A 15,096-nucleotide genomic window follows, 5' to 3' on the forward strand; every position below is an offset into this window, starting at 1 on the left:
CCATAATAGTTTCTAAGCAACATTTGTTTCTTTCTCCTGCTAATAAAAGTAATGTGTTTTTCAATTTTTATTTTAATTTTTATGTTTTTGAGACTGAGTCTTGCTCTATCACCCAGGCTGGAGTGCAGTGGCGCGATCTTGGCTCACTGCAACCTCTGCCTCCCAGGTTCAAGCGATTCTCATGCCTCAGCCCCCAGAGTAGCTGGGATTACAGGCGCCCGCCACCATGCCTGGGTAATTTTTGTACTTTTAGTAGAGATGGGGTTCCACCATGCTGGCCAGGCTGGTCTCGAACTCCTGACCTAAAGTGATCTGCCTGCCTCAGCCTCCCAAAGGGCTGGGATTACAGGCATAAGCCACCGTGCCTGGCCCATTTTTCAAATGTTTGATAATACATATGTAATATTTAATATTTATATAAGAAACACTCCCAGATACCTGAAGCGTTCACTTCCTCTCCTCTTTCCCATCTTAAATAATACCCTTTTAGGGAGAACTCCTCAAACACCTCATTGAAAACTGCACCCACAAGTTCCTGCTTTATTTCTTGCCATTGGGCTCTTGGTCTGTTGTGGGTATACCTGCACTAGCACCCAAGCTCCTCAAGGACCAGGGGTTTTGTTTGTTCTGTTCACTGCTATAGCCCCAAAGGCTAGAACAGTGTCTGATACATAGGAAGCACTCACTATATATTTGCTGAAATGATGAATGAAACAGATTTGTTTTACAAAGAAGTTTTGCCTTTATTAATAAGAAACCAGTGATGTTTAGTTTGGAATAACTTTTTTTAAAATGTTATGTCTTTGAATGTCATGTTAGCCTTTTACTGCAGGGCCCACTTAGAGAGGCTGATAAAAGCTATAAACCCTCCTCCTTCCTGCTCCCCATGCCCTCTCAAATCTCAAACACACACAGAAAATTGAATATAGTATTGGGAGGTTTTTGACTTCCTTGAAGTCTGTTCATTAACTTCTTAAAGGTTCCACTAACCCCAGGGTGAGAGCACTTGGTTTAAAGTGTGGCCTGGCTTAGAATCATGATTTCTCTCCTATTCTAATGATTCAAAGAATCTGTATGACTTGAATATCAGTCTTTCCCCTTCTCCCATTAGCCAATTAATTGTTAAACGGATTCCTTCTACAAAACACTCACTGCTTAGAGAGAGGTAAGTTCAATATTTGCAGCTGATAACTTGATGAACAGCCACCGGATGAAAGCTGAACAATCTACTTAAAAATCCAGAGATTTGAAAAAGGATAGATGTTACTAGAGCACAGTCAAAATGTCTAGTAAAGTCAATTTTTTACTTGTCAATTGAAAGTCTAGGGTCACAATCTGGGACACAGATGGAAAAACAGGATCTATTCCACATAGAATATGCTTCTTGAATTTTATTATTTAAAGAGCAAAATAAAAGGAAGTAATGCACATTCACCAAAGTCAAGTTTTCCGTTAAATAGAAGAAAAATCTAATACTTTGTAATAAAGACCATCCAGCTAAAAACAGATCATTAAAACAACAATAGCGATTTGACTCTGTATTTTATTTCAATGAGCACACTTCATTCATTGTCTGCAGGAAAACTAGGCTAGGTCTCAATAGACAACAGTCACAGTTACTGAGCAAGTAAATACTCCACACTTGCATGCCCTCCTTTATTTCTTGATGTCTTCAGTCTCATCTGGCTCTCTCTCTTGATGCTCTCTTTCCCACCTCATTTCTTTTAACTCTTGTCTGTACTTCCGTTCGATGAACCGCTTCTGATGGGCCATCTGGGGAAAATTATCTGACACAAGGAAATATATTTTATATTTAATAAAATTATATTTAATAATCTAGTGCAAAGAATAATGCAACTAAACATATACACATACAAATATACGTGCATATGAAATGTGTATAATTGTATTTTATAAGGCACAAGATAGAAAACTGTTTTCTTCCCTTATTCTTTCATCACTCAAAAACATAATGGAAGTCTGGATGAGTGCCCCTGATTGTAAATTTCAGTATCTGATGTGAACTTGGGTATAGCAGGCACCGAACATACAGAAATGCCAAAACACAGACGTGTGGCTTGGGAATGTTACCAAGCAGGTGCTTTAGCATCACTCTCCTAGCAACAGGTGACTTTCTGGGAGAGATGAAAGGATACAGTAAAATGGAGTCACAGTTTTTGAAAAGCTCAAACTAAAAACTTCAAACAAATGATATTATCACACCATTATTTACCAAGAATTAAAGATTCAGAAAAGAGCAAAGAAAGATCAGGTGGACAAAAAGGGGCCACGTTCCAAGTCATTATGTCTGATAATTAATTTTTAGGTTTATGATGACAGGCCCAAAGCTGTATTTGCAAAAGTAACTCAAGTAGAAAACTTATTGGGTTAAAGCGGACACATAACCTCATGTTTCAAACACATGAAGAATCCAAGATGTGGGCGAGCATGGCATGCTTGGGGGCAAGTTCATTTGTTTGCTTTAAGGACAATGCGTAGTGAAGTGGATCTACATATACAGCAGGCCCCTCATCAGTGATCTCGCTCTCCATGGTTTCATTTACACATGATCAACCATGGGCCAAAAATAGGCGAGTAATGTACAATAACATTCTGAAAGACAGAGAAGGCACAGCATACAATCAAGAGTACATTCACACAACTTTCATTATAGTATATTATTGTTCAATTTTATTTAATTATTGTTAATCTTTTTCTGTGCCTGATTTGTAAATTAAATTTCCTCTTTCAATTAAATTTTGCATGTGTAGGAAAAAATATAGTCTATATAATGTTCAGTTTTATCTGCAGCTTTAGGCATCCACTGGGGTCAGGTACCCCCATGGATAAGGGGAGATGACCATATAATAGATCCTAAATTCTTTTTTCCCTCTTAATTATATAGTATACCATCCTTACACCAGGTTGAAGAAGGGACAGGGTGGTAGGAAAAGCATCTGAAAGACAGGTGGGGAATCAGCAAAGACCTGGTATGTCTGGGGGTCAGAGATTGATTTTATTTATTTATTATTTATTTATTTATTTAGAGATGGAATCTCGCTGGAGCGCAGTCCCTCAGCTCACTGCAGCCTCCACCTCCCAGGTTCAAGCAATTCTCTGCCTCTGCCTCCCAAGTAGCTGGGATTACAGGCGTGTGCCACCACAACCGGCTAATTTTTGTATTTTTAGTCGAGATGGGGTTTCGCCATGCTGGCCAGGCTGGTCTCAAACTCCTGGCCTCCTGCCTCGGCCTCCCAAAGTGCTGGGATTAAAGGCATGAGCCACCATGCCCGGCCCAGAGATTGATTTTAAACAAAAAAAGAACATGACATCTGTATTTTGGAAATAAAACAGTAATAAAATCCTATTCCTGAACTGATCAAATTGATTCCTTATGTAGGTTTCAAATATAACTACTTTTTTCAAAAATAAACAAACCCCACTAAGCTGTAAAGCAAGTTTCTACAAAATGAACTCTATTTCCGGAATAAACTCTACTGTAAAATCAAATTTGCATTTGAAAAACAAAATTCACATTTAACTATTGATAAAACTTTAAAAATATATCCTTATAGCCCTTTTCCTATGAAGTTGTACTACATATATATGCAATGTAAATGTGTATATACATACATATATACATATATATACACACACACACATACACCTAGACACTTGAACATTTAAAATCATTACTCATTGGGAAAGTACAATATAGGTATGTATTCATGGGTATACTTTTTTTCACTTATTCTAGTATAAGCATTTTCCCATATCATTAGTTTTTAAAACCATTACTGTAATGCATACAACATTTGGGTATAGCAAGGGTTGGTAAACTACTATCCACAGGCCAAATACAGCTATCTATCTGTTTTTATAAATTTTTATTGGCAGACAGACACACCCATTAAATAGACACATCCATTAGTTTGCACACTATCCAGGCCAGTGGGCTGCAATGGCAGAGTTGGAGAATTGCGACAGAGATTATATGGTCTGGGAAGTCTAAAATGCCTACTATCCGGCCCTTTACAGCAAATGTTTCCTAACCCCTGGGATATACCACAATTTATTAAACATTTTCCTACTCTAAAACACATAGGTTTTTTTTATCTGCTACTATAAATCAAGTTGTCATGATTCTCATGGTATAAACTTTTTTTGGCGGGGAGGGGAAGAGACAGGCTGGAGTGCAGTGGCATGACCATAGCTCACTGCAGCCTCGAACCCCTGGGCTCAAGTGATCCTCTGGCCTCAGCCTTCCAAGTAGCTAGCACTATAAGTGCATGCCACCAAGCCTGGCTAATTTTTTTTTTTTTTTTAATTTTTTGTCTTCCAACTTGGCCTACCAAGGGTATGAACTTCTTTAAGGAACTGCTACATACTGCCAAATTGCTTTCCAGTAGTTTAAACAACTCACTCCTACCAGTATGGATATGCAGGCCTGTCTCAGAATAGGTGATCTCTCCAGTACTGTTTTATAGTTGAAAACAAACAAAAAATGGAATCTCACTTTTATTTCACTCTGATTGCAAATTTATATGTACAATGGATGAAGTTCCTAATAGCCAGCTTAAAACTCTCAGTGAAGAATCCATGGATGCTGGACCCTGGCAGCATCAGCGTCTGCTCCCACTAAACTCCCTGCCCCTGAACAGGAAACTTTGCTGATTTCCACTTGGCTGTTGGCCTGCTTGCCTTTCCTGGAATCTCTCCCATGCCTGAGGATTCTGGGCCTCTTCACTTTTAGCTTCCCGCATTTTGCTGTCTCCTACCTCATTTAGCAGGGTACTTGAAGCATAATAGAATTGCACTGTCATGTTGCGCCCACAGGTTCTGCTGTGCAGCACAACAGACCTCAGAAGAAAAATCCCTTGCACTTAAGCCTTCAGTTTACAAAAGACTATGCAGTTTCCTACAAGGTCAATCATGTAATTGAAGTTTCTTCAACCCACGCATCCCACTCCTGGGAACCTATTCCACAGAACTAAAAAGCACCAATATATAACATTTATTGGTGATAATGATTTAAAAAAAAATGTCCACCAATAATAAAAAGGCTGAATAAAATATTGCACACCTACAGCAGGAAATATTATGCAGCCACTAAGAATGAATTGGAGCTGTTTTCTATAATCTGCAGGGCTGCTCATGATACATTATTGAGCAAAAAAAGGTACAGAGAAGTATGTAATAACAGCCCATTTAATAAAACAATGGCCAAAACAAAAAACAGAAAACCTTCACACGTATACTTTTCTGTTACAAGATTTTAGAGAATAGAGAAATGTATGAAAGAAAACACAGGCCGGGTGCAGTGGCTCATGCCTGTAATCCCAGCACTTTTGGAGGCCCAGGTGGGTGGATCATCTGAGGTTAGGAGTTCCAGACCAGCCGGGCCAATATGGTGAAACCCCATCTCTACTAAAAATACAAAAATTTAGCTGGGTGTGGTAGGAGGCACCTGTAATCCCAGCTACTGGGGAGGCTGAGGCAGGAGAATCACCTGACACCTGGACCGGGGAGGCAGAGGTTGCAGTGAGCCAAGATTGTGCCACTGCACTCCAGCCTGGGCAACAACAGCGAAACTCCATCTCAAAAAAAAAAAAAAGAAAGAAAACACAGCAGGCAGTTCACACAGGTCACCCGCGCTGAGATTAGGACTCTAAGCAAAAAAGGAAACTGCAAATCAAAAAGCACTCAGGAATACTTTTATTTTTAAATATAAGCCCATTTTAGAATGTCTCACATTCTACTATATTCTCTGTGTAAAGAATAATTCTGAAGAAAACAAGATCACATTTTATCAATACTTACCATTTTTCTCCTTCCTCATTTCCTTTCCATAAAACACTCATTACATTATGAACATAATTATAGAAAAAAAAACAGGCTTACATTTTTCAAGCGCATCCATTGCTGCTCCCATTTCCGCTTGCTGAATACTATTAAATAAAATAAAGTAAGACATACTTTAATTTCAAGATTCTTTTTTTTTTTTTTTTTTTTTTTTCAAAAAATGCAAGGTATGGCTACAAATCTTTCAGGCTGATTTTCACGTTCAGTGCATAAAATCTCCTCTGATTACTTACAGTGTCACACACTGAATTGCACAGATAGGAATATACACAAGAGCATGCAGAAATGTCATTGATTTGCACAAAGCCTACTTAAGTTATTCACTCCACACTTTAATACTGCAATAAAATGCCTTCCATTTATGTTAGGTCTGAAGTATTTCATACTTAAGTTTGAATACCCTCACTGTAAAGTTTAAAGAGGAAAAGAATAAAAAAAAATACAGACAGGTTTCAAATCATTTCTCAGTTTAAGATACAGACTGGAGAGTTCAAAGAAAGGTGATAATATACATAATTCTTTTCACCTAAAGATGCTAGCGTTTCCATACAGCTCAGGTGAGTAGTAGTAAATCGAATGTCTAACAGAGCTGGACACAGTGAACTCATACCTAAAATCCCAGCACTTTGGGAGGCTGAGGGGGGGTTGGGACCACTTGAGGTCAGAAGTTCGAGACCAGCTTGGCCAACATGGTAAAACCCTGTCTCTACTAAAAACACAAAAATTAGCAGGCATGGTGGCACATGCCTGTAATACTAGCTTCTCGAGTAGCCAAGGCACAATTAGAGGTTGCAGTGAATGGAGATCATGCCACTGTACCCCAGACTAGGTGACAAAGTGAGACTCTGTCTCCAAAAAAAAAAATAAATAAAAGTCTAATGGTCGTGTCATGTGCGACATGACACATCTTACACACACAGCTTGCATCAAAGTGTGCTCTGGGTAACTAAAACTAGGCAGACCTTCTTGCCAGGTAATATGGTTTTCTCAAGATAGCTAAAGCCCCCTTACACAATGGTATTCCCATGGTCCAGGGCTCGGCTTTGAGACAATTAATGTGGGGACATTAATTCCTGGAATTCACTTTGCTACTACTCTTGAACATTTTATTCTCTGAGTTAAAAAAGACAGATGACTGAGTTTGGAGATAGCAGCTAGGGAATTAGACACACAGGATGTTCATTCAAAGCAATTCCAGGTATTCTCTTCTCATACCTTGGTCCTTTCCCACAGCCTATTCTTTCTCCCTTGAAATAAACAGCCACAGTGTAGGTTCGGGCATGGGATGGGCCCACTGTCTGCAGAGTCCTGAAAGGGAAAGGAAAGAACATTTATTATGGTAAAGTGTTATTTGTCATGGTTACTATGTAACTATGAGGAAAACCATGTACTTAGTGCCTAGACAGAGTTAAGTAAAATAACAGGAAATGTGAAAATGGCAGAAAGGTAAAAAGAGTTAAGTTTTTGATTTGCTAATCCGACAAATATCGAGAGCATTTGAAATAGAAATTTTTAAAAATTCTGCATTGTATTTTAATATTTCTTCCCAAAGTAATATAAATAACATCAAAAGGCTAACAGTGAAGTGTAAAATATTTTCAAAGAATTTCTAAGTGTGCATATTCACAAACTTTTATCATGAAAAGTTAAGAGCTCCTGTCTATTGGTTTTCAGTGCTAATCACAGCCTAAAACAATAAATATTGGGGTAATACACTTCAAGCCACATCTGAATGCTTTCACATCCTTTATGGATTCTTTCTAATGTCTGTATCTTATCTAAAAGATCAGAAAATGTATTTAATTTCTGAAACATCTGAGATCACTTGAAAGGTACGCTATAATGCCAAGTACACAACACAATCGCCAAAAAAACAAAGCTCCAGGTACTTGGGATTTTAATGACATGGTGCAGATTTCAAATGCAGTAAAACTAATAACTTCATGGAAAAGGGAAATTAAAAGTAGCCAACAAAGATAATGGAATGAACATAGTAATCTTAAAAAAAACCATGTAAAACAACCCCATGATCTTGATAAAATGAGCAAACTCATCTTGTACTTTCATTTGGGGGATTTATGAGAAGGGAGCATAGCAATTTCCTTTGTGTTCGTACGCTCCATGGGATGAATGTGCACGAGTGGCTTCTTGAAGGTAGTACTATTACAGTAATCATGCCTTTGCTATGGAAAGTTTAGCATCCTCATTTTATTTATTGAACCTTAATTATCACTCTGATGAGGAAATGCTATGAGCCTTTCATAGAATACAGTTTGGATATTCATTATGCTTATTAGGCACATAATAAAGTGCTATTTCTAAACATTTGGGGCTTTTTTCCCCCAATAAATAAAGGAAATATGGTTTAGCAGTGACAACTTCTTGGTGTAATTTATAGTAGCTTGCTGTGGGGTGACTCAACCTCTTCTTCTGGCCTTAGTTTCTCTTTAGCAAAAAGGCCTATAAAGTGTTGTGACTGTTAAATAAAAACATGCGAAAGGATTGAAAATTCCCAACTGCCAGTCTAATGTTTTTCCTTGTGTATTTTGAAATTTGAGAAAGTCCAAAGGGGAGCTTTTACTCCATACAGAACACACACACAGATGTGTGTGCTTGCAACCGTGTATGCATCCACATGGGGTGAAACAGTTTTGAAACAATCTTTAAACATCCTTAAAATCATGTACCCAGACAATACCTTGAGATGCAACCCACCTATTTCAATAATCCTTTCATTTTGTAATTCCACTTTGAAAGCATCTTCTTAATCAACCTATGTGTGTCTCAAGATAATTACTCTACTTCAGAGCTGAACCTCCTGTTTTCATCAAAACGGGTATTAAGTGGTGTAGTGACCCATTACTCACCTACATTCCTTTTTAATGACTTTTGGCTACCACTCAAAGGATAAAGATATTCAAAGTACATGATGGCTTTTGACACACATTCTGAGAAGAAAAGTTCCAAGTTGAAGCCAATAGGGGTTCAGGGAAAGTGCAGAGAGGTACCCAAATATCGCTACAAATAATCATACATGATCTTCTCATCTGGATGCACAGCCCAGCAGAAGTTACAAGCAAGAAGACAAATATAAAAATGTATATAAAAACCACTGAATCCAAATTTTCTTTTTAATCTCATAATCTTAGTTGGTCTCCCTCCCAGGCAGTAGTTCACAGAGATTTTTAGAAATGGGAGAGAACATTGAGATAATGGAGTGGGACCCACTTATTACAGCTAAGAGTGAGAGCCCCAGTGAGTTTCCCTGTGGGGCCCAAAGTCACACTAACAGCCAAGAAGTCTCAATCCTGGGCTCCTGTCATGATCACCCCACAATGACTCATTCTTCAAGGCACATGGAAAGTCAATTTTAGGCATGCTGGATCCAACCAATGGCCTGCAGGCAACAAGTACTTACTTGTACAGAGGAATGTCTGGCTCTTTTCCTTCTGTCCTAAGTGTCAAGCAACACTGCTGAAGCTGGGATTTGGGGTCATTCCAATCCTGATTCAAAATGAACTCCTGTGGAAGTCCCCCAAAACTATTTAGTAATGGGTTCTGGAATCACCAAACATAAAGCAGACCACTAATTCAAACTTTATATGAGCTTACTTTCAATCGTGGAAAGAAGCAGACATTCATGAAAGTATGAACATATTCCAAATCCTTATCAATGTACAGCGCTGCAATAAATGCTGGGGAAAAAAGAATACTTTAAAATAAACCACAATCACTGCCATCTATCAGAAAGAGTAAGAGACCTAGACCTTTAAGCAAAATTTTAGTAATAGTTTCAACTTCCAGGCCCTCTTTATTTTTCAGTGCTACCATTTCATCTTCCCCCACTTTTTATCATTAATATCAGAAGCAGCAAGAGATGTGTAAGATGCAAATCATAGAGTACAAACACCAAACTGCATTTAGCTAAGGGCTAAAGGAATAGCTTAAAAGGTACACAGAATGCCGCTGTATATCAGGGAAAAAATGCTGAGCACCCAACCCTGTTCACATCAAATAAGTCAAAATATTACTTGAAGATTAGATATGATGCCAGAATACGCACATTCTTGGGTCTTGCCATTTTCAACACCAATCCTGAGATCCCCTGTTTTTAAGGATTCTATGTTAAATTTAATGAACAGAAATGGGGTAATTTATAGATTCAATCTGCCCAAAAAGAGAAAAACTTAATACTGATCTTAATGACAACAATATGTCAAATTTTGCATTAATAAATGGTGACCCCCTAGGATGACTTCATTTAAAGGTACCTTGACAAAGCAAACAAATGGTGCATTTTCAAAAGAAGGAATAAAAATAGCTTTCATTGAGCTAAAAAAAAAAAAAAGAATGATCTCTCTGTTTAATTTTTATGTGATTTTCATCTTTAAATTACTTTTCTTTCATTGAAAAAGAAGTTCTTTTAAGTTCCTTAGTCAGAATGCCTTTGCACTTTGTAAATAAGCTAGTTTTGCATGGTAGACTTTGATACTTGAATATAATTCCCATTGTCAAAAATACCGTAACATTAAAAAAAAAGTTCTAAGGCTCAGTGAATGGCCCACTTATTTTGAAGTAATACAAACAATACAACTATGTGTATAATCCTTTCGTTAACTATAATAGGATTATTTACAATGCTGCCAGACCATATCGGAAACTGCAAAAGACGACATTTGTCCGCAGAGCTTTGCACTCATTCAAAACAATGAATAATAGTTTCAGTATTTAGTGAATAAATTACCCTTCTTTCTTCTGTGCCCCTATATGAAGGCTGCTGGGTGGCAAAAAGGCTCTGATTTACAACAACTGATCTTCATATTCTATTACTGTTTCACACAAAGGGATGTGGTAGCTGAGTGTTAGGATGGAGGGGTATGTGTTGGGGGTACCACTGAACATAGATTGAACATAAAAATTCATTATTCACATGTCTTAGTTTCAAATTATTTTCCTTCAGAAAAGCTTTGGTAAAAAGCATAAAAAATTAAAATAGCAAACAAGGTTTCTTTAGCCAGAACATAATAATAATGAGGAGGAGGACAAATACGGTTACTTGGACTTAAACTCTGAACCTGGAGGTTGAGAGAAAAGTGTGTGGCACTCACATTCCAAAAGGTCCGCCAAGGTCTTGGTGCGAAGCGCCACAGGCCTCTTGGTCTTGTCGTTGGTTATGGCGTACTCCTGCATGCCCAGCTCCTCCGCTACCTTGGCCTGAGTTCTATTATTCACCAAAGAGCTTCGCAACAACTGCCCAAAAGGAATGGCGGTACATTGAGAACACATTTCACTTTTGACCTCTCTTATTCCTGGGTTGGACCCAACTAGCCTGAGAGGCTGTCACTGACAGGGACACCAAAATAAGTGAGGTCTATGGCCTCAACCATCACCCAGATGACAGTGATATGCTCCATGCCCATTTACCTTCTCCTTAATAACGTACTCCACTCTACTATCCTGGATTTTTACCTTACTGACATAAATGGCTCATTTACTTCTTTAGGAGCATTGGGGCAGGGCTGTGGTGGGGGAGGGGGGATGTATAATAAGATTTAAGGTCATAGTTTCTAATAAGTTTAATGCTACAAAATAAGGAAGCATTAAGAGTGTTAAAATCAATTTTATTAAAGTGTAACTTACATTCAATAAAATGCACCCATTTTCAGTGCACAGTTAGATGAGTTTTGAAAAACATGTACATTTTTATCACTCCAAACAAATTCCCAGCATCTCCATGCAGTGAATCCTTCCCAACCCCTGACCAGGCAAACGGCCTGCTTTTTGTCACTGTACATTAATTTTAAAGGATTTTTTTTTAAGTCTAAAATAAGCTTCAAGTTTCACGGCACTGATGCTAATTTTGATATTATAGGACTTAAGTGAGGTTTAAGTAAATACTATGAAAAGATTTAAATTATTTATTTACATTTTTATTTTATTATTATTTTAAAGATTTATGGTATCTAGCTTGAGTCTCAGTTTTTCATACTGATATCCTTTTTTTTGAGACAGGCTCTTGCTCTGTTGCCTAGGCTGGAGTGCAGTGGTGCACCATCTTGGCTCACTGCAACCTCCACCTTCTGGACTCAAGCTATCCTCCCACCTCAGCCTCCCGAGTAGCTGTGACTATAGGCACCTGCCAACATGCCCAGCTAATTTTTGTATTTTTTGTAGAGACAGGGTTTCACCATGTTGCCTAGGCTGGTCTCGAACTCCAGAGCTCAAGTGATCCACCCACCTTGACCTTTCAAAGTGTTGGGATTACAGGCGTGAGCCACTGCGCCCAGCCCATACTGGTATCCTTTGTCTCTAATCAAATTAAAATATAATTTTCATATTTCAACTTTAGGAATTCAAAACAAAAATTTCTACTAGGAATTTCATCAGACAGCTAAGAGTCCTCCAAGAATTTCCAACTAGTAACACTATACACTGCATGAAAATTATGCAACGAATCCATTATAGAAGTGTCCATAAAACAAGTATGGTTTAGGCATTAACACTCATTAACCACTCACTAGGGAAGAGGAGAGGAGGACAGCCGGGAGCAAGGAGGTACATACAAAGATGGGAACTCACCAAACAAAAATGGAACATAATCATCCCTGATCTCTAAGATTTGGGAGAGTAATGCATCTACAACTACAACTTTTCTTAGAATACATATAACAAATTCTCGGTCTATTAAAAAACTTCCTGCTAAGAAACATTCCTGAAAACAGGGACGAGGAACAGGAAGCAGCTGTGAGTTGTGCTGGTATTCCACTCCCTGCTGTTCCATGTTGCACTTTCTTTATTAGATGCAAGTTTTATGCTCTGTGGCTCCATGGTGTCAACAGAGCTTATGAAAATCAAGATTTATTCTTAGTGTCTGATAGTGAATCCTTGACAATAGATAAATAAGAAACAATATGTTCTTAATTTGTCTGACAATGATTCATGAAGCAAAAATATAACTTGATCTTCATAAGCCATGCTTGCTGTTGAATTTCAGGCTATGATTCTTTGCCTGTCTCTGCTTTCTTTCCTCCTCCTGTCTCCCCCTTAGTCCCATCTTTTCTTCAATATAGAGTTTCACTAAAATTAACATCCATAGAGGAGCTCAAAATTACAAGGCTAGCATATAACATTAATATAAGACCCAACCAATAAAGAGCCCACTAGCCTAATATCTTGTAATTATGGAATAATTGAGCTGAAAGTGATATATCTTTTTTGGTTTGGATTTCATATGGGGACGGGGAGCTTTCCTAAAGTAGAGGCTGTGGGGGAATAGGATGGCTACTATGGGAACAAGGCTATGCTGAATAAGTTGGGTCCTCTCCGAATATATGCTTTCGGTATGGGAAGAAAACTCTTTAAGCCGTGTATATGGAATGTTCATGCCTCAGATACAACAAGCCCAACGCACACATGAGCACACACAAATGATGATACCTCACTGGCGGCCAGGCCCCACCTGCCACCTTCCAGTGTCAGGGCCCCTCACTCAGTGCTATACAGTAATGCTGTCTGACGGTGAAGGAGGAAAGCAGTGAGGATGGAATCAGAAGTGCTTCCAGTTTTATTTCAGACAAGCCCTGACAGGTCTTAAAGCAGAAGGGTGGCCAATAATAAGTGAGATCTGTAAGTTCTTGCCAAAAACCCAGAGCCTGAACCAAAAATCAGTGGGGGAGAAGGAAGCTACACATCATCCATATTCTCATCGTCAGTTTAAATTTAGAAAATGAGTTGAAAAGAGAGAAGACCTTGCTCTTTACCTAGACAAGAAAGTCTGAATGGCAGTTCTCTAAATGACAACTTTCATCCTTGTCCTTTGCTGAACTCTACTTCATAATGAATCATGTTATTTGCCAAAGAACATGACCCAGGGGTATCAGCAAGAAAGAAAACCTGAGGTTATGGCAGTTCAGTGCACCAGTGGGTGCAGACCAATTACATGCCAGGCCCCGTGCTGACAGCTGAAGATCCTGAGAGGAGCAACGTGCTGCTGCTGCCCTCAGGAACTGACACCCTCCTCAGAAGCCACGTGCAGACCGGCTGTTGCAATGCACTGTGGTGGCTGCAGTGCCAGCACAGAGACTGCAGATACATGCAGGTGCTCCTCTAGACCTCAGCTTTCCAGGGAGGCCTCCTGGAGGAGGGCTGACATTTGAGTAAAAGCATTTCAGGGCCTCATTTACCTGGCTGTAACACCAGAATCATAAGGTGCTTCTGAAAAGCTGGTGCCCAGGCTTCTTTCAAGAACCAACGAATCAACATTTCTAGAGATCTAACTTTTGAAAAGATTGATGTAGGTGGATTCTGATGAACACAGAATCAGAAGTGAAAAAGACTGAGTCAGCCAGTGAGAGAAGGGTGGGAAAGGGTTTCCAAGGAAGAGAGAGCAGCTATGGCAAATGCAAGGGGCCATTACACAGCAAGGTGACCACTGGGTGGACCTGGAGGGGAAATCAGAGCCAAGGGAGGAGAGCTGATGCAGTGAGGCTGGCAGGTGATGTGAAGAAGACTGCACTTTCCTGTAGGGGAAGGGGAATCCCAAAAGATATCAAATGGGGGCAGTTGTGAGGTAATTTTTTTTTTATTTTAGAAAGATTGTTTTGGCGGAAGGATTTAAATGACATCAAGACATGAAGTTGAAAAGCCTGTAGATGGTGATGTTATAAATTACTATTTTACAAAGGGGAAATATCTATTTATATATTTTAGTGGAAATCTAGAAAATAAACATTAAGCACCCAATTGAGCAGAAGACAGTTATCAGACTATTTTGCAAACAATGCCTCGTGTTAGAGATAGCAAAAAGCAAAAGATTTAGCACCAAGTTACCTGGGTTCAAATTGTGGCTCTGGCACTTCCTAGTTAAGTGAACCTGTCTAAGTTATTAAATATCTCTGAGCCTCAGTTTCCTCATCTATAAAATGGAGAATGTAGTACCTAGCTCTCACGATTGTTTTGAGAATTAGAGTGGATGACATATAATCTAACTACAATGACTGGCATATGATAAACACAACAGAAATGTTAGCTGTTGCTGTGTTATTCACAACAGCATCATCATAATTCGACAAAATATGTTTGCTCTTCAGTTATGGGAAAAGGTTCTAGAAAATTCTAAGAATTCCTCTGAATTTGTTTTCAATGTAAAATGTTTTGGATACCCGTCCTGTCCACTCACTGTCCTCAAAATTCCCCATTTTACCAGGTGCTAACCTGTCATCAACAACTTTAAAA

General features: G+C 38.8%; 1 protein-coding gene across 3 annotated transcripts in view; it reads right to left on the reverse strand.

The window, feature by feature from the left end:
* The window catches only part of DROSHA (drosha ribonuclease III), a 131,600-nt gene continuing 117,222 nt past the window's right edge, over window positions 719–15,096 (reverse strand). For all 3 annotated transcript variants that reach the window (NM_013235.5, NM_001100412.2, NM_001382508.1), the window contains 6 exons: window positions 10,971–11,112; window positions 9,475–9,557; window positions 9,281–9,384; window positions 7,078–7,170; window positions 5,902–5,948; window positions 719–1,787 (listed from right to left, as the gene is read on the reverse strand). In NM_013235.5, the coding sequence (NP_037367.3) occupies window positions 1,657–1,787; window positions 5,902–5,948; window positions 7,078–7,170; window positions 9,281–9,384; window positions 9,475–9,557; window positions 10,971–11,112 (600 nt within the window). In that variant the 3' untranslated portion in view covers window positions 719–1,656. The remainder of the gene's footprint in view (window positions 1,788–5,901; window positions 5,949–7,077; window positions 7,171–9,280; window positions 9,385–9,474; window positions 9,558–10,970; window positions 11,113–15,096) is intronic.

The sequence above is a fragment of the Homo sapiens genome, chromosome 5 (assembly GCF_000001405.40).
Source record: "Homo sapiens chromosome 5, GRCh38.p14 Primary Assembly".
NCBI lineage: Eukaryota > Metazoa > Chordata > Mammalia > Primates > Hominidae > Homo > Homo sapiens.